General features: G+C 45.0%; 1 protein-coding gene across 8 annotated transcripts in view; it reads right to left on the reverse strand.

The window, feature by feature from the left end:
• Positions 1 to 19,376, reverse strand: part of OPCML (opioid binding protein/cell adhesion molecule like) — a 1,117,521-nt gene that overhangs the window by 5,319 nt on the left and 1,092,826 nt on the right. For 5 of the 8 annotated variants that reach the window (NM_001319104.4, NM_001012393.5, XM_047427032.1 and 2 more), the window contains 3 exons: positions 16,923 to 17,060; positions 16,360 to 16,480; positions 15,787 to 15,938 (listed from right to left, as the gene is read on the reverse strand). In NM_001319104.4, coding sequence (NP_001306033.1) covers positions 15,787 to 15,938; positions 16,360 to 16,480; positions 16,923 to 17,060 — 411 coding nt within the window. Of the gene's footprint in view, positions 1 to 14,859; positions 14,887 to 15,786; positions 15,939 to 16,359; positions 16,481 to 16,922; positions 17,061 to 19,376 lie in introns of all 8 variants that reach the window. The other 3 variants (XM_006718846.4, NM_001319106.2, NM_001319103.2) reach the window with 2 other exon arrangements.

A 19,376-nucleotide genomic window follows, 5' to 3' on the forward strand; every position in this document is an offset into this window, starting at 1 on the left:
AGGGGAGAGAGAGACAGACCCATTAGCATACACCCAAGGACACCATAGTTCTTCCCTGACAAGCAAATACACATACATGCTTCCCACCTTCCACCCTTCCGCTGACCATTCCAAGTCTAAACAAAGGAAAAAGCCCATTGGGAGTATTTAGGAACTCAAAGGGGCAAGCTGTTGGGATGCCTTGACCAATGCAGCCTGCTCTGAAAGACTATGCTTAAAAAGTAAATAGGTGAAGCTCAGGCTAGTCATTGAGGCCCGTGGGCCCAAAGGTTAAGGCAACACATGGAAAGGCAGACCTGCTGGCTGTTTTCTAATCAGTGCCTCTAACTGTGTGCTATACTTGGAGAGTGTCCAGTACAGACAATGATGAGTCGGGGGGCACAAGGCCAGAGAGGCAAGGAGCAGATGGTGGGGTAGGAAGGGGAGACGGATGGAGACATAAGTCCAAGTGTTGATGTAGCAGACTTGTCAACCTCAATGCATGCAACCTAGGTGTTGTGGAGGCTCCTCCTGCAGCAGCTAAGGAAGGAGGAACAATCATCCCCATGGGTTTTAAAGGCTGGAATTAGGCTTGTCCCAGCAGTCAGTGCTGCCTCCCTAAAGGCCTTGAAGCAGATCAACATGCCCAAAACAGACTGCCCCTGAAGATTCCACCCAAGGGGCTCTCCCTTGATTTTTTTCTAGCTTCTCTCTCTCTCTCTCTCTGGCCCCTTCCTGTATCCCCAATAAATCATTCAAGGTCCACCGGGAAATAAGTCCACAGTATCATGAGTGCTGTTCTTTTCCCCTCACCTTCCATGGCTCAAGAAGACAAATCACATGAATTGGTATTATCCTAGCCTGCTTCAAGGGCAGGTGTATCTAACTTGGACCAGGTGTTCCTCCATCACCTTTATCAGCAAGCACATAGGGTGGTACGCAAGACTAGGAGCCAGCAGCAAGTGTATCCCAGAAAAAGCAAAATCTATTATTACCAAGGGATTAAAAGCCATTACGAGGCATTTCTATAAAACTAGTGAAGAAGCAAAGGAGATTCAAAGGAGACAGTACACCTCTTCTACCATCTCAAGCCAGGACTTCACAGCTTCTTTGAGAAGCAAATTGGCCTACTGGAAATAAGCTGAGGTGCAGCAGAACCTCTTTAGACAGGACTAGTTCATTTGGCTTGCCTGTCAACCTTATGGTGAGGATTCATGCCTTGCCCAGGAGGGACTGATGGGAACATTTTACTTTGGGAAAGTCACGTCTCTCACTTCAGCAATGAGTATACAACTGTTCCTCTCCACTAATCTTAACATGAATACCTTTTCTTTCTACTTAAAATATACATGCTTTTATGGACTAAAAGTCATATTTACTTGATAGCTTGAAGTCTGACTCATATTAGCCTGCATTTTTGTCAGAGAATATTCACAAAAAAGGGCGGAATCCAGGTTGTAGCGACATGTTAATGTCCCAGAGGAGGCTCCATAGATATTGATGGAAAGTAGCCTGACTGTGGGGCCTCCAGCAGTCCTGGCACACATCCTGAGAAATCATACTGGCCTGCAGAATGCACTGAGCTAGAAATGCTCAGGTTGAAGCTCAAGGTAATTCTCTACATATTGTCTTTGAAAGATGAGTGATTTAGGTTTTTAAATAAGTTTATTTACATTTTTAAATAAAAATATGTACATAAAGCTACTTTTAAAGAAACATATGGGCAGATTCATAAGGCCCATATGTTTCTTTAAAATTATCTTTTTGTATATATTTTTCTTAAAAAGTATTTTCATGACATATATGGCATATATACTAGACTAGTTTTGTATGTGTATATGTATATACGTATATATATATGTCTTTGTCTAATTATTATTTTGAGCTTAAGAAACAATTGAAGCCCTGATATGCTCCACTCTAGACAGAACTCTTGAGTATAGGAGTCATTCTATCCCAAGTTCTACCAGTGAACTGAAACATTCCTGTGGATACCATGCCATCGGCCCAAGGTTGAATATAGCTAAAGCAAAGAGGAGTGGGGCAATATACACAGAAAACAGACCATGGAAGAGTGGGGCTCAGAGAGAGAAGGAGGCAGAATAGTAAAAGGAAATGAGTGTTTCTGGTGGTGAGCAGCAGTTGCCATCGGATGCTTGGTGCTTACTGGGTGGAGGTTTACAGTCATATTCAGCTTCTGTTGAGCATTCTCAAGAGTGGAAATGAAAGGGAGACTTAGCAGGTATGTAGGCTGCTCAGCCTGCTTAGGGCAATGATGACAACACACGTTCACACCGTGCTCTCCACGTGGCAAGCACGATTCTAAATGCTAAACATATAATCAGTCATTTAATCATCACATCAACCCTATGAGCTATGTGCTACTGTCATTCCCACTTTGTAAACAGGAAAACTGGGAACAGAGCAGTTAGACATCTTAGCTATGGCCACGCAACTTATGCACCTTGAGCTGGATTAGAACCAAGTCACTGTCCTCAGAATCTATGCCCTTAATTGTTACAAGTCTACTTCCTCTCTGTAGAAAATGACCATTTGTGCAGGTTTTCCAGGGACCACAGTATCATGGTGTGAGAGAAACAATGGACTGGGAATGCAGTGTCTCTGTATGAATGTGCTGCACCCTAGCTGAGTGACGTTCCCTCTCCGGGCTTTGCTTCTCGCATTGCAAATTGAGAAGAGATGGGGTTTGATGACCTGTGAGGTCCTTCTTCTATTAGCTCTCTGAGTTATTACATGAATGGAAATTCTGCATCCAGGTGTTAGGAGAGATAGTTGGTGAGTAGCCAGACAGCCTTCTTCAGTTGAAAGAAAACCGTCAACACGTGCCTTTTGCACTTCAGAATTCCATCTCCCCTGAGACAGCAAGAGGGCACCGAACACTCTAGTCCCTAAAGTTTCCCTTTTGCAGCCCCATTTTCTATGTGGCTTCAGGGAGTTTTATTCTTCAGCAGCTATGATGAGCACCTGCTTTGTCGTATCAAATGCCATAGCAATTTACTGCCAAAGTGCCTTTGGTCAATTGGTGTATGAGAAATGGCTGGGCTATTGTGGCCAGAGAATGAATTTAATCCACTACGATACACAGTGAAGCTAGCATCACTTTCCTCATACAGATCCTGGGCACATTTGAGACTTGTCAGCTGGGCCAAATGCCAATGCGGTGAGGGCTCTGCCGGAGGGCTCTCCAGCTGTGTTTGGAGCTGGTACATCTATGTACACTCTCTAGACTTGAAGAGTGTGAGACAAAAGCCATGGGCAATGAACTCATTCTTTAATTGCATCTTTGCAGTAGCCCTGTGTAACTGGAAATGAGGAAAAGAAAGTTTCTGGGTTAGTTCTCTCCCACTAGGCTGCTGTATGCTACAGTTGCTCACCTAACTTGGCCAAATGCTTTTCTGCTTTAATATAAAAGTGATGGGTTGCTGCAATTTAAGTAATTTGGTGTGGTCCCATGGCCTCGGGGCTCACGTTTGGTCCCATGGGTTACCATGAGGCTTTTGTAAATGTTAGCTCAACAAAGCTACAGAGCCACCTGTGTGACAGGGGAGGACATGGTTTTGAAGGAACTATTCAGGCTGAGCTCAGCAGTGGTAGCACTGAAGCTTGCATACATGGCTTCAGAGTCAGATTGAGTACAGTTTTCTTAGAGCATGGCCTCGGCTGGTAACAGCTGCATGGACTTCTCCAGGTACTTGGTACCCAAGATGATACAATTTTGAATTTCAATATATAGGGTCAGAAACCCAGATGTTTGTATTTATTCATTTATTGGTAAAAATTGGAAGAAAGGTGATTCTTCTCTAAAACCTAGAATACTAGAGGCAGTTTTTTTTTTTTTTAGATGGAGTCTCGCTCTGTCGCCCAGGCTGGAGTGCAGTGGCGTGATCTCGGCTCACTGCAAGCTCCACCTCCTGGGTTCACGCCGTTCTCCTGCCTCATCCTCCCAAGTAGCTGGGACTACAGACGCCTGCCACCATGCCCAGCTAATTTTTTGTATTTTTAGTAGAGACGGGGTTTCACCACGTTAGCCAGGATGTTCTCGAACTCCTGACCTCGTGATCTGCCCACCTCAGCCTCCCAAAGTGTGGGGATTACAGGTGTAAGCCACCATGCCCGGCTGAGAGGCAGATTTTTAATGACATATTCTATTCCAGAAAACTGATGCTAAAATGCACCCGGATAAAAGCCCACGGGTTTGGAAGAAAGGCGAAGGAGCAGACTTCCTGGAAGCATAACTGAGAAAACATCCCTAGGGACCTCAGGAAATGCTCTCTACGCTCCCCCGGGGTAAGGTCGCTGACCGCAATCTGGCAATGTTGGAGTTGGACCCATTTGGATTTAAATTCTGACCCTGTGGGTTGCCAGCTCTGTGATCTTAGGCAAGATACTTCCTGTTTTCTCACTGAAAACAGGCATGATGATGCTGAGTTTGCAGGACTGATTGAAGGATGAACGTAATCAGTAGAGTGCCTGGTACAAAGTAGTCATGTGATCATGGCAACTGCTGTTGGAACAGGACCTGCACACCTCCCTGTCCCTTTCTTAGTGGAGACTAATACTAGCTTGTTTAGATAGTTCCAAAATATGTTGAACCTGGGGTGAGGTATTGGTAAGGGAGTGAGTAAAGAGGTGAGATAGCTTAAGATTGCAGCTGAGAGAGACCACTGGCTGTGAGGGCTCTGGAGGATGTGGGGCATTGAGCAGGGCACTGGGAGCCAGCCACAGCCAAGCTTCCTGGCTAGGTCAAAGGGTAATGTGTCCATCCTGCAATGGAGACGGGCCCCAAGCCAACCTTGGGAAATGTTGAAGTCGTTCATTCAACATATGTGAATTGATCCCTGCCATGCACTAGGCTCTGCTTTCACAAAGAAAGACAGAAACAGTCCATACCTTCAAAAAGCACAAACTTCAGGAGGAGCTAGCTTATCCTCTGTCCTTGATTAAATAAATAAACAAATAAACAGACAAATATTTTTTTTAAACCATCAGAGATTCTGGGAAGAAAGCCATTTGGAACAAATAACCCTAAATCCCTTTCATCTCAGGAACATCCTGCCTGTTGGATAGTCTTAAGAGCATTGATTTTAAGAGTCAGAACTGAATTTGAATTCTGGCTCTGCTATCCAATAGCAGGAAGACTTTGGACAAGACCGCCGACTACTCTGAAACAGTTTATTTTATGTATAAAATGTGGAAGGAGTAGTTCTATCTACCCTTGCAGGATTGCTCTGAGAATGAGTTAAGATGGTGTGTGCAATCATCAAGTACAGAGTAAAGGATGATGAAATATTAGGTGAGTTGGAACTAAGGCAAGAATTGCTAATCCATAAAACAGCATCTTGTGTGGGGGTTCTGCTTTTAAAGAAAGAGGTGTTCTAGAATACTAGGTTCTCAAAGGTTACTCTCCAACACCAGCTGAAAGCAAGCTTGGCTCTGGCTGGTAATTGGGTGACCTTCTCCCTTCTGGAAAGGCCTGAAGTGGCTGCTAACCACAGGTAAAATCTTCCTAATGAATGGCAGCTATTCTGAGGAAGCGTATTCAGTAGCCCAGTACTTTCTGTGGGCAAATGCCACATTTAAGGACTCTTTCTCTATTTATGGTTAGCAATAATTCAATTGAACTAGAATGGCTGCTACAAATATCAGGCTTAATTAAATATTTTCAGGGATAAATGGAAAGTGAGAACATGTAATTATGCCCTTTACCATTATTCCAGCACCTCCTCCTTCACCCTTTTTAATGTTAAAAATTAATGGCTTCTTCATGCCTGAAGTTAAGCATCTTTAAAAATATAAGCTGAAATGAAGATGCAAAGCCACAAAATAAACTGAGTGACAACACAGTGACAACAACAAAATACTTTGGGGACAGGTATACAGACAAATAAGATTTCCTTTAGAATATAGAAAGAATAGTTAGAGACCAGATATGGTTAAGAGACAAGTTTCAGAAATGACAAAGGGATCCATTTGTGTGGACATTATGGCCAGAGCAGGTCCATGCAGCTACAAGGGAAGCTCAGCAGGGGTAAGACACATAGCAACAACAACAACAAAAATGAACAAATAAAAATTCTACTTTTGAGAGGCTACGTGTCTTGGTAAATTGCTAGGTTTGTGCAAAAGTCATCATGGTTTTTGCCATTACTTTTTTTTTAGAGACCGAGTCTCACTCTGTCACCCAGGCTGGAGCGCAGTGGCACGATCTCGGCTGAATCTGCCTTTCAGGTTCAAGTGATTCTCCTGCCTCAGCCTCCCAAGTAGCAGGGATTATGGGCATGCACCACCATGTCTGGCTAATTTTTGTATTTTTGTAGAGATGGGGTTTCACCATGTTGCCAAGGCTGGTCTTGAACTGCTAGCCTCAAGTGACCCACTCGCCTCGGCCTCCCAAAATGCTGGAATTACAGGCATGAGCCACCACGCCTGGCCTAAACATTAGATTTTTTAGAAGAAAATTTGGTTGAAGGCTTAAAACAGAATAAAGCCACACCTACCACATAAGAACGGGGAATTTCAAGCCTGGCCATCCTGGCACTAAGCTTTTGCTGCTGCATTCAGGGGTGGCTCACCACCCTCTTGAGTGGCAGGTGTTGACAATCACAGTACCCAAACTCAGCACAGAGCTCTCAGAAAAAAATATAGAAGCTTCCTGCTGAGATCCTGCCTCATGAGAGATTTTGAGGCTTAAAAATGTAGTGTATATAACAAGCCATGAAGGTATTGGAATGTGTCACTGGTTTTCCTTTCCATGATTACAATGAAAATATGACATCGATCTCCAGCAACCATAAACTATATAGCTGAAATTCTACTAAAATGGCAGATGGTAGGGTGACCACACTAAAAAAGAAAAGAAAAAAAAAGCCCCTAGGCAAGTTGAGCTTGTTGACAGCACAGTGAGATTAATGAAATATCTGAAGTCTAAGAAGATACGGTTTTGTTCTGAAATCTGGATAGGTTTTGTAAGTATGATTATGAACTGTGTGACCTTCCTAATGAGGAACCAAGAGGATAATGATGTTCTTGGTGATTAAAAGAGGAGCAAAGAAATCTAATTAGATGATGTATGTGTTACACTTGTTGGTGAAACATAAAGCTATTTTTAGAGGTGCTGGCTGATGAAGGCACATCACTTCCCTTCAAAGGGAACTTTTCCTCCATTGAGTTTAATTACAGCGGCAAACGTGGCGCTGTGTTGTTTCACAAGTAAGATCAACCAACGAGGCTCTGCAGCACAACTGAAACCAGTCGATAAAGAGGCAACCATCTTTCTTCTGTTCTCCTTAACACACCCTGTTTTGTGCTTACTACAAAAACAAAAGCTTAAGAAGTTAATATCAGAAGTTAATTCAAATCCGTCAGCTCATCACAAACCTGGAAGAGACAAGACTTGAGTCTTTGTTGAACCATAAGCTCTGTGTCTGTGCTGACATCAGCACACCCTGAACGCTCAATGTTAAATTCTAAATGCTCAGGCTAATAGCCAGATGTCAATGATTCAGAGCGAGGAGGGCGGGGTACGAGCAAACCACAAGGAACCTCATCAAGAATGAAATGGGAAATGTCTGCAGTTTTTTTCTACTATGTTGACATTTTGCAGGTTGGGGGAAAATACAAATGATTACGCTGCTGTCATCAGCCAAAAGCAATGGTGTTTCTCTCTGACTCATTCCCTTCCCACCTGGATTTAAATTGTGGAGTTGAAAAATAAAAATCATACACGTTATCAGCAGGAAATGGACAAATATGTGCAGCTTTTGATGTCTCTGCAAGAAGATATCATGTGATGAACGTCTTCCTAAACAGAGAATTGGAATATGTGGTATAGCCTCCTTCAAAAGGGAGATCTGGGATGGGGGTCCCTAAATTTTAAATTAGATTTGGAACATACAGGAGGCCAGAACGCAAGGGAAAGTCAGAAAAATAGTCATTTGGCTTCCCTGAGGGGAGGGGACTACAAGTCCTCTTGGGTATTTGGCTTTTCTTTGGTTAGTGAAAGGTATGAAACTGTATAGAGGCTATAACTGATGCCCTCATTGGCTGGAAGATATATTTATTAATTCAACAAACAGTTACTGGGCAACGCTCACTGGAAGATATAGTGTTACATCTTCTAAGTGCAGAAAATGACACAAACAAAATATAAGCATAGGGGTAATCTACCATGAGAGCCCAAAAGATGAGGGATTGATTCTTCAGCGGAGCTCACAAATGCTTTACATATGGGGCATCATTGAGCAGAGTCCAGAAAGTATGCACTCATCAGGCAGAGAAGAGGGCACAAGCCTGCCTCTGAGACCCTCCAGCACACTGGGAGACACAGTATATGGGTTTGAAAGAAACAGGGGATTAAGATCAGACAGACCTAGGTACAAAACCTGCTGCTGTCCCTTGCCCCTTCCATCCATGGTGGAATCCCTCCTACCTGGGGGAATTCAGTAACATCATTTGTTCTTTGAGCTCTAGGCTCTTCTTCTGTCCAATGAAAAATGATAACAATATCAATCTCAAAGTGTTCTTATGTGTCTAAAGCCATGTGTGGCTGACACTCGATAGCTGGCAGCTTCTTCATTCCTCAAGCATGGCACTTCCTATATTTTATTGTAACTGTCTATTTACTTGTTTGTGCAAGATCAGAAATTCTGTTTCTCCTGGTACTTTAGTCCTTAGTATAATTCCTGGCATACAGTAGGCACTAAACAAATATTTGTTGACTAGATGAATGGATGGAGGGATGGATGGATGGATGGATGGATGGATGGATGGATGGATGGAGAGTGGCAACAGCATGATGTGTAACGGGATCTGGGACACAGGGGGCCCAGCCTGGTGGATGCAGGGAAGGTTGCAGGTGGAGTGCTGGGGACACTTGAAGCTATAAGGCTACGCTGATCTCACAGCGAGAACAGCCTTAATGCCAAGCTGTTCTGGGAGGCAGAAGTTTTCAGCAATCGAAATGACAAGGTTCATTCTGAGTTTTGGAAATGTCACTTGGCCCTGCTGTGGCAAACCGACAGGAGTTGGATTGCCGAAGAAAGATGAGGGAACCAGTGAGAGGATATCACAATTGTCCATGTGAGACGTGTGCCACAATGTGAGTGATAATGGAGATGGAGAAGTCAGAGGAAAGGCCATTTGGTGGGACTTGATGGCTAACAGATGTGAGGAGTGAGGGAGAGGAGGAAGTCAAAAATGACCAGAGATTCTAGAGAGTGTGCAGGGGAAGAGCGAGGCATGCCCCGAGCGTTCCCAGCGGAGAAGGGCTGCCTTTGAGACCCCTGCGGAATATTCAGGGAGAGAGAGTGGCTTGTAGCTCAGAATTCAGGAGAGAACTAAAGACACAAATTCAGGAATTATCAGGCTGTTGTTCAGAGGCCATCAATCTTCAGTGTGCATAGGATTCCCTGGGAGAGCTTCTTAAAAAGTACATTCTCAGGACCTTCCCTAGAGATTTCGATTAAATGATTCTGGGGCAAGGCTCACATATCTGCATTTTTAAAGCATCCGGAATAAGGCTAATGCAGGCCAACAAATACCTCACCACTGGGTGCCTGAAGGTACAGAAGAGCCCTTCCCCTCTCACCATAGGCTGACCCCCGGGAAGACTGATAGGGCAGGTGCCGGAGGAGCTAGAAGCAGACTGAGGAAGGTAAGGAGACAGTCACCACCCGGTTATATCACATAAGCCAGAAGTGGGGCATTGTGGGGTGAGAGGGGCTCTGGCACTGAGACGAGGTCGGGTGTTAGAGGGAGACAGATCGTGGTAGCTGAGGCATAAGTAGGTTTGAGAAAGGCAGATACAATGCGAATTCTCCCTCCCAGAGGCCTGTGGCTGGAGGGAAGAAAAGGCACGGGTGAGGCATGGAGGTCGCACTGAAGAGAAGCTCAGTCTTTGTGCCCCCTCTCCATGTCCCAGCTAGAGCCACCTGGGGATAGGTGTAGTTGTGAAGACGCCCTAATACAGACATGGAACGAGAAGATGGAGGGGGAAGAGGAGGGAGGTGGGGGATAAGGCAGCGGCGATGAGGGCTCTGCCCATGGGTGGGATGGTTTCCCATGAGAAGGAGGTCAGCAAAGGGCAGATGAGAGCCGCTGCCTGGTGCAGGCTCTGGCAGAAGGAAGTCCGGCTCAGAGAGCCAGTCTGATATGTATATTTATTCTAGAAGAATGGCCATTAGCAAAAGAAAATAGAGATTACGCCCTCATGGCTCCCAGGAGCCGCGAGGCAGGCTGGAGTCACAGCTGCTCCAAGAGGGCTCAGGCTTGGCCTGAGGAAGAAACTCTGTGCACAGATGTTGACTTAACTGGAGCGTTTTCCTTTTTCACTTGCGATGACAGGATTCCTATGAGTTGTCCCTGCGCCCTACACTTAACTCTTAATGTAACTGATTTGTGTCGCTGCAATTTCACAGATAAAATGTGAGAAATTTGTTTTTCTCTCTGCAGTCTCCCCCCTCCGTCTTGGCTTTGTTTGCGTTCTCTCTCCCCTTCCCCTGCCAGTTCCAGTCATCCAGGCGTTTACATGCCTCATTAAGCACGTCGCACTCTCTGCAGTGCCAGATGTAATCAAGTCCAGAATCTTCCTTCTCTGCACACTAAGGACAGGATGGGGGGATGGGGCTTCTTGCTCAAGGCCCAGAGGGGACAAAGGGGGTTGGCGAACTGAGAGAAAGTGAGTCACCTCCACAAGGGACAGAGCTGTGGTCAGCAAGCTGAAACCCAGCCACCCCTGCTGTACTTAGGCCTGGCAAGACTTCGAGGTGCCAAGGGGCTCCCTGTGGACCTTCCAATGGCTGCACCCACTCAGTAAAGCTAACGAATGCTTAGAGCAAGCTGATTTGCAATGGTTGGAGCAAGCTACTGTGCAAAGATTGTCCATGGTTATGGTTGATAGCTTTTGGAGACCTGTTCCTTGCCTTTTGTTCCCATTGTTTCCCAAATTCAGCCCAGACACTTAGAAAGCTGAAAGTAACCTTGGAGTTCATCTTGCTCTGCTTTTCTGTTTTACGCATGACTTAGGAACAGACAGCATCACAGTTTGTCTGTATCAGAGTCAGGACTGGAACCCCGTGTTCCTTGCTGCTGGCGTTGACCGCCTTTCCACATCGGGCCACTTTTCCAGCACCTGCAGTTGCCTGGGGCTAAGGAAAGTGGGTGGTCTAAAATATGGCTGTGAGTTGGCGCTCTGCCTAGCTGACCACTCTGTCCTTGTGGCTCTGTGTGGGGAAGGCAACCGGTGTGATAAAGAAGAAGCATTTCATATCAGTGCCAACAGCTGTTTCATCTTGGACGATCACCTACCATGTTGTCACTCACACGTTTCTAGTCATTTCAGGTTTCCAACCACTCACCAACCCATTGTCTCCAGTTTTTGCCCTCTGCATTCTTTCAAAATTGCTTATATCCCATTTTCCTTTGCTCTTTGCTTGTAGGTATGAAATATATAAAAGATGTAGTGTGAGAGAGGCACGCTGTGAAGGGATCACGGGGCAGAGTCAAAGAGGGCTCTCAGAAAACAGACTGACCGTCTGTGAGAGTAAATACAAATGCATGCCTGCAGATGGGGACTGTGTGTTGGGGAAGTAGGAGCATACGGGTTGCAAATCTAAAAATTGTCCTTTACAAGAATGGCTTCAGAAGTAGATAGAAGAAAGGAGAATTTGATGTGGGAGATGGGTCCAAGAAGACTAATTGCTGATATGAGGCTCCATTTGGAAAGTCACCATGTCCATGATGGGTTGCCAGGTCTTATGAGCTGGATTGCAATAGGAGCAAAGTGCTCCAGCATGGGAATGGGAGTATATAGCCTCAAATCCCAGCACAAGCACTGATAAGCCAGGGTGTTTTGAGTTATCTGCCTAACCTCTCAATTTCCTCAAGTGTAAAATCAGGATAAATATAGTACTTACTTCATAGAGTCACTAAGGGTGATAAAAAAGGAAAAGCACTTAGTCTAGTACCCTGTACACAGTAAATGGTTGGTAATAATTAGGCATAATTATGGGGGCATTGAGGACTAGGAAGAGCATCCCTGGCCAGGAGAAAGAGCAGGTCAACCAGACACTATCTGTCTGATCTTGTGCTGAAACTATTGCCACACAGTCATAGGATCAGAGAATTGTGCCTTGTAGGGACCACAGAAACCAAACATCTTATCCAAAATGCCTTCACTGATTAAAAATATAAAAGACCCACTGAGATTGACCTTCCCAAAGCCATTCAGCCAGCGAGCAGCATAGGGTGAGACACATACCCCTTCCTCTATGCCATGGCATTTCAATTCCTGACAGCTAAATTGTGGCTGTGACCAATACGTCCTTTCCATCCCCACATATATTCACACATTCATTCATTCCACAAAGTTTTCCTGTGAGCTACTGTGTGTAGAACCTTGTATTAGGTCCTAGGGATTAAGCCAGGTATAGCCCCTATGTTCCTGGAGCTTACAGGATAAAGAGGAAGAAATACTTTAAACAAACAACTTTTGAAATATTAAACAAAAACAAAATTACAACTAGAAGATAAAGTCTATAGAAACAAGGAATCTATCTGTTGAGTCACTGCTGTCTCCTGATCACATAGAACAGTGCCTGGCTTGTAACGGGTCCTAAATGCATGTTTGCTAAATGAATGCTAGACAATGCTCTGTGTGAGTGCAGCAGTCAAAGGCGCGGAATGAGTGGATGCAGAATTGGGGACTGGCCTGCTCAGAGAGGTCAGGAAAGTCTTCCTTCAGGAAGGGATGCTGAATGCAAGTGTGTGCCAACAGGGTGAAGTGAGATAGGGTGGGTTATAGGGACCGTGAATGCTGGAGAGGAAGGGCACAGGGGACTTTGGAGGAAGGAAAAGAAGTCCAGTTGAGCAGTGACTCTGGCAGGCATATGGGGGGAAGAGGCGATAGCATGGGCCATGTCACAATAAGTGTTGGCGGGTACCAGTAGAAACACGACAGTATTCAGTGAGTCATGCCGCTTTGATGAACATTGTCTTATTGACAATTCACAGTGACACTCTCATGTCCACAGGTCAGAAAATATCACCCTACTTAGCCGAGTGGACTCAGGCCTGTGGTTTTTGTTTGTGGTCGAATCCACACATCTAAATGTAGCATTTATGGGATTCTGAATGGACACAACCTGATTTAATCCTGTCACCAGTCTCTTGAAGCAGGCGTTAATGTCCCAATAGCATATATGCGGGAAGGAAGACTCAGCAAGTTTAAGTGAATTGGGATGTGAAGGCTGAATTGGGATGTAAATGTCTGCCTGTGCTATGGGCTGAATCGCATCCCTCTACTACCGAATGTCTATGTTGATGCTCTAACCCCCAGTATGTCTGTATTTGGAGGTGGCACCTATAGGGAAGTAATTAAGGTTAAGTGAGGTCATAAGGGTGGGACCCTGATCCAATATAGTTACTGTCCTTATCAGAAGAGACACCAGAAAGCTCCCTCTCTCTCTTTTTCTATGAGAATTCAGAGGAGAAACCATGTGAGGACATAGCAGCTGTCTGCAAGCCATGAGGTGAGCCCTCACAGGAACCACCTTGGCAGAAACCTGCATCTTGGACTTCTAGCCTCCAGGACTTTGAGATAATAAATGTCTGTTGTTTAAGCTATCCCATCGGTAGTATTTTGTTACAGCAACACAAGCCAACTAAGACAGTTTTGGTATACACTGGTTGTTGTTATCTGCCATGACACACCTCTTTCTTAGTGAAGGGCAGAGAGAGACAAGAAGGGCCATTGGGTTGTCAGTCCTGTGCCCTTCTCTGCATCATACTCCCTGCAACAGCAATCCCACCAACCATGGGGATAATGGCAGGTTGTGGCAGGGAAGTGACTCAATCCCACCCTATCCTCTCAGTGTTTTTAAGACTAAGGCATGGGTGTTCCTGGTCACTGGGATGCGGGCAGCACTATACATCTGTGAGTGTCTTGGATCAAGAGCTGTGAGCAGTGATAGTTGAGGAGCTGATTTCAGGTCTAGAAAATTCAAATGTCATCTCTTTGCATGTGAATGAGATTGACATCTTAGAACAGTAGGGTTGAGGGTCTTCCAGTTCTGGAAGCAGAGCTGAGCAGCAGCTACTGCTTCTTCTAAATGCCTCAGCGACTGTGTAAGAGTGTGTGTGAGTGCATGCATGTGTGTGCCTGTTTCTCTTTGCTGACGCTGTGGGCAAATGCTCCAATACCTAATACAGGGCTCCATCTCTAGGTCTCATCCAGTATCTATTCATTAGCTAAGTGGTCTTCAGTGTTACCCAAGCTCTTTAGTCCTCCTTTCACTTACCTGTAAAATGGGGTTAATAACCTGCCTTGCACAGCCCTGACATGATGCCTAGAAACCAGTACACGTTTGGTAAATAGCAGATATTATGATTATAATAATGATCCCAAGTACTTTTATTTTAAAATAAAGTTTTTAGAACTAAACCATTAGCCCTGTTTGCCTTGGGCTAAAAGAATAAAACATTCATAGTAGGGTGACGTCCCCACTGAGACAGTTATCTATTAATCCAGTTGGTCTCTGGGCTGGGTTGCTCTTGGTGCTGCTGTGTACAGAAATAGCAGAATGAGCATTCTTTTCAAAGATGACCAAATATAAGGTTCTTGTTTTGGGGGCAAAAACCCCTTCCCCTGAAACACATAAAGCTATTCCACAGAGTGCATTTGAAAGCCATCATATTCTACATGCTTATTATCTAAACTGTGTAAACCAAGCCCCTTGAGGTCTATCTACCTCAGAGACATAAATTACAGAGGTGAAGCAGGCAAGCCTATCTTTGAAGTAGGCTAAAACTCAAAGGCATAGGCATTCAGGCAGGCAGAGGTAGGAAGGAACATGCTGTACCCACCTGCCACTGCTGATGAGGGGCTTATTTCTAAGACACACACAGCACAATGCACACACAATGCAGAGAGAAAACAAAAGACATAGATCACACATTTCAGATGGTTGGTGGACAAAGTTTACTTAATGTCAGTGCTGAAAGCTTGTGTCTGAGGTGCACGTGGAAACGTGGATACCTCTCTTCATCCTTCATCCTCTCATCCTACTCATCGGATGCTTCCCTCTAATCAAACCTCAGCAAATAAACAAATACATATGCACATACAGTATCACAACAAGCTGGCCCTGGCCCATGGTGTGAAATGTTGCAGAAGGATATGGATGCGGCAGTGTGGGAAAATGGAGTTAGGGAGACATAGGGGCTTTAAAGGAGGTCAGTCCTGGCTCCCAAGCCTTCTCCACCCATATGGGAGGGAAAGATCTTCAGAGAGGGTTTGCTGCTCCAGTTGTGGATAGAGCAGCCACCTGATAAGGTCTCAGACTACTACTCCATTCTTCCCCATGGATGAGAATACGAAATGCAAGCAACATGAGAATCATGATGGAAGCAGGTGACTTGGTTTAAAGCAACAAATATCACCCCCAGAATCAGAGACTCCAACTACAGAAGGCATCTTAAAATTACACAGTTGAATTGACCCATGGTTCTATCTTCTTTATACAAAAACCATTCTACCTGATTCACAGTTTGGTTTACTGCTATTGTAAGGGCAAACTTTGCCTTTTAATGACCATGAAATATCAATTACTGTGTAACTATCTCTGCATGGCATGCTAGGGGAATGGCAGGGAGAAGTATGTCTTATCTACAGGTGGTGGGTTGAGTAGGATGGATGGACACAGGCCAAGCAGATTGCAACTTCCTCCCTCCTGAGTCCCTCAAGCTTCCCCATGTGGCTGAGCCCACTGCATCCAGGCTTCCAGCACTCACCATACAATGTGATGCTGGCATTGGTGTTCCCAAGCTTGTTCGTGGCCACACAAGTATAGTTCCCATAATCCTTTTCTGAAACATTGAAGAAAGTCAGAGTGGACATGCGGCCTTTGTTTTCAATCCTCATTCCATCCAGACCAGTGGCTAACCTGCAAGAGGGAAGACATTGCTATCAATTCATTCTACAAAGAGGCCCTCCTCCTCACCAAACTCTTTTCTCCAACTAATCTCGTCCTTCAAACTCAAACCCTAAGCACTTCAGTGTCCAACAGGAGGAGAAGGGAAATGATGCTCTTGCCCAATGGGATAAATGTACTGGCTTCTAATTCCCAACGACTGACATGTCTACAACCAGTCTCAGATTCAGAATCATGGTCAGTTCATTTTCTCCACTTCCCAGCCTCCTCCATTTTTTTTCTCGTTGTAAAAATAGACTTTGTTACAAAAGAGGGCATAGTATATTTCTGTTTTGCCTTATCTTTCCCCTTTTCTTCATCCTCATCCTTCTCCCATGTGGGGATAGACCATCAGCTCTGCTTCAGAACTGTCCAGGTGTCATTTAAAAGGTACCTGGTTTCTTCCTTGAACCACTGGAATTCAGCCATGGGGACTGCAGAGGCTTCACAGCTCAGGATGCCCTTCTGACCGACTGAAACACCAGTGTTCTTGGCTTTTGAGATATAGGGAGGATCTGTGGGAAACACACACACACACATGCACAGGCATGCACGCACGCACACACAGAGTGATTTCGTGAAAGAGATGAAGGGCACATCCAGCCATTTGCTATGTAAATGGATTTCTTGTGACAACCCTCTTTCCCAGTAAAATAATCATTTATTTCAGGAAAAATAAGCTGCTTGAAGATACTGCATTGACCCCAACCTCTTTTTCAGGCCTCCAAACCCATTCTCAGTTAACAATTCTCTCCATTTGCTGAAAACTCTGGCAGTCACAGGAAGATTCCAGGGACAAATGGCACGGAGGCCATGGTGGGCAAAGCCATCTGATGAAGTATTTTCCTGTTGGCAGGAACCTGGGTCCTTTGGAAAATGGCACTGCCATTACCAGATTGTCCACCTACTCCCTGTGCCGTCTTTTCCCCAGAACCCCCTGGCTGCAGGTCCACTCACAGTTTACAGTGATTTTTACTTTCCGCACATCGGGCGCAGCGACATCGTTCAACGCGCTGCATTCGTACTCCCCGGACTGGTCTCGCTTGATGTCAGAGATCTCCAGGTACTCATCCTCACTTACAAAGCCCTGGCCTTCTGGGAAGAAAGAAGCAGACAGGAAACAATCAGGAAACTGTGTAACCAGGGACAGAACCATATTCACATCTAGAGATTGTAGGAGGAGGAAGAGAAAAAGCCATCAGAATGGAGTAGGACATCAAGTCAAAGACATAGGGCATCATGTTGCTCAAAAGATACGGCAAAGGAAGAAAGAAATTCTGTGCTTGAGTCTTGCATCAATGTATTTTCAGTCAAGTCACTTAACTTTCTTAGAGCATTTGGTAAGAACATGTCATTATTTTTCTTATATGATTATTGTGATAATTAACTCAGAGATGACATGATAAATACTTCAGTGCATTGCCAAACTGATATTTTAAAAAGAACTGTCATGATCAATAATATAATAAAACTATGGAATAACTTTAGGGTATGTTACTGTGGAGCACATCTTAATTTTTCATTTGTAGAAATGTTTTTGTATGCAGAATACAAACTACTACTTGTAGAACGAATAAGTAAGCATTCTACCCTTTAATATAAATAGATGCAAAGTAGTTGGTTTTGTTTCCACCTGTGTTGGAGAAGATAGAGTGAGAATGAATGAACGAGGAAGGACCCCACGATGGCTTTGTAATAGATGCTCAATAAGCATTGGCCAACACAAATGTGATAGCCCCAAATGCTGGATCTGTGGTTGCCAGAATAGCCTAGTGGATTTAATACTCAATTTGGTGGAGCTCCCTGGAGGATTCATTCTCAGGTACTTGTGAAACTTGTCATTTATAATTCAAAATATTATGGGCTGCAAAATTTGTATTGCTTTTATGCCACCATTACAGGTTCTTGCAACAATCTGGCCTCTCCGCCTTACCCCTTATCTTACTCCCTGTGGTTCAGTGCAAAGACAACAGACCCTCTGTCTTCCATCACAAATGTTCTGAGTTCTGTCAAAACACTGAGATCCCATCAAAACCAAGATAAAGCCCAAGGATAAGGCACAGCCATTTGCATTTCTTATAGGCCTGCAGTCCTGAGGGCCACAGTAGTTTTCAGGGCAACAAAAGTGTGAGCTTTCGCCACAACCTTGTGCAAGCATGTTCTAATCCAATGGGTTTGGGTCCACCATGGATGTGAAGCAGGAAGGTGTCTGTGGAGGGGGTGGGCCAGTGTGTAGGACATAGGATGTGGAGCAGGAACGTGTCTGTGGAGGTGGGATGGTGTGCAAGTGTATAGGGTGGGCAGCAGGAAGGTGGAAGGTGGGGACAGTGTGTAGGGTGTAGGGTGTGCAGCAGGAATGTGTCTGTGGAGATGGGCTGGTGTCCAGGGTATAGGGTGTGCAGCAGAAAGGTGTCTGTGGAGGTGGGCCAGTGTGCAGGGTGTAGGGTGTGCAGCAGGAAGGTGGAGGAGGTGGGCTAGTGTGTAGTGTGTAAGGTGTGCAGCAGTAAGGGTCTGTGGAGGTGGGCTTGGGTATAGGGGGTAAGGAGGCAGGTACTTAGGTGCCCTGACTCTGCTCCAAGTCTAAGCCTTGGGGGCTTCCACCACCCACCTACCCATTTCCCCAGACCATGTGCTTTCTGGCTCTTGTTGTCTTCCCTGCCTCCATGTCCTACCCCAGGTCATGCCCACCCAGGGAGTACCATCAGTCTCTGGATACTGGCTACCAATCATCTATTTATAGAAATGTCACTGCAAATCAGCACCGTTCTGTTAGTCCAATCTGTGCAATTCCATGGAGGAAATAATGCATTGGCTAGTGGGAGCAATCCATTTGCCTGGCTACCCTCCTCAAACCTGGTCCTGGTGACAGGGTCCCAAAATGTACCCATAGATGTGAGGTTCAGAGTCATTGGGAAATCTGGGTGGACCCACATAAGAAGTGGCTGAAGGGTGCAGGGTGAAAGATCCCCAGACTGAAGAAATGGGGTCTGAAATAGTGACCCACATGCTCCCAGCCTAGGATCTGAGCGTCTCTCCTGAATGATGCTGCTCACCCCCGATGGTTCCAGCCACCAGATGGGAACTTAGACAATTTCAAGAAAGAAACTCCAGAGCATGCGCCACCTGGGTCTGGGTTAAGCCGGCATTTGCTGGATGGTGCTACTGGATCAAAAGCCTCTACCACAGCAGACATAATGATCCAGGCTAGTTCATACACTAACTCTTCAAGGTGCATTACGGTTATGCAAACACTTTCTTGCCCTACTCCCTTTATTTCTCTATAGGCTAACAGAATATCATAGTGAAAGGGATTCTGAGATTACTTTTTAAATGAAATTTAACAAAGAAAAATTAGTTGATCAATCTAAGCCTTTTTAAGGATTAAACAACAATGGAATCAAACACATCAAA

The sequence above is a fragment of the Homo sapiens genome, chromosome 11, assembly GCF_000001405.40.
Source record: "Homo sapiens chromosome 11, GRCh38.p14 Primary Assembly".
NCBI lineage: Eukaryota > Metazoa > Chordata > Mammalia > Primates > Hominidae > Homo > Homo sapiens.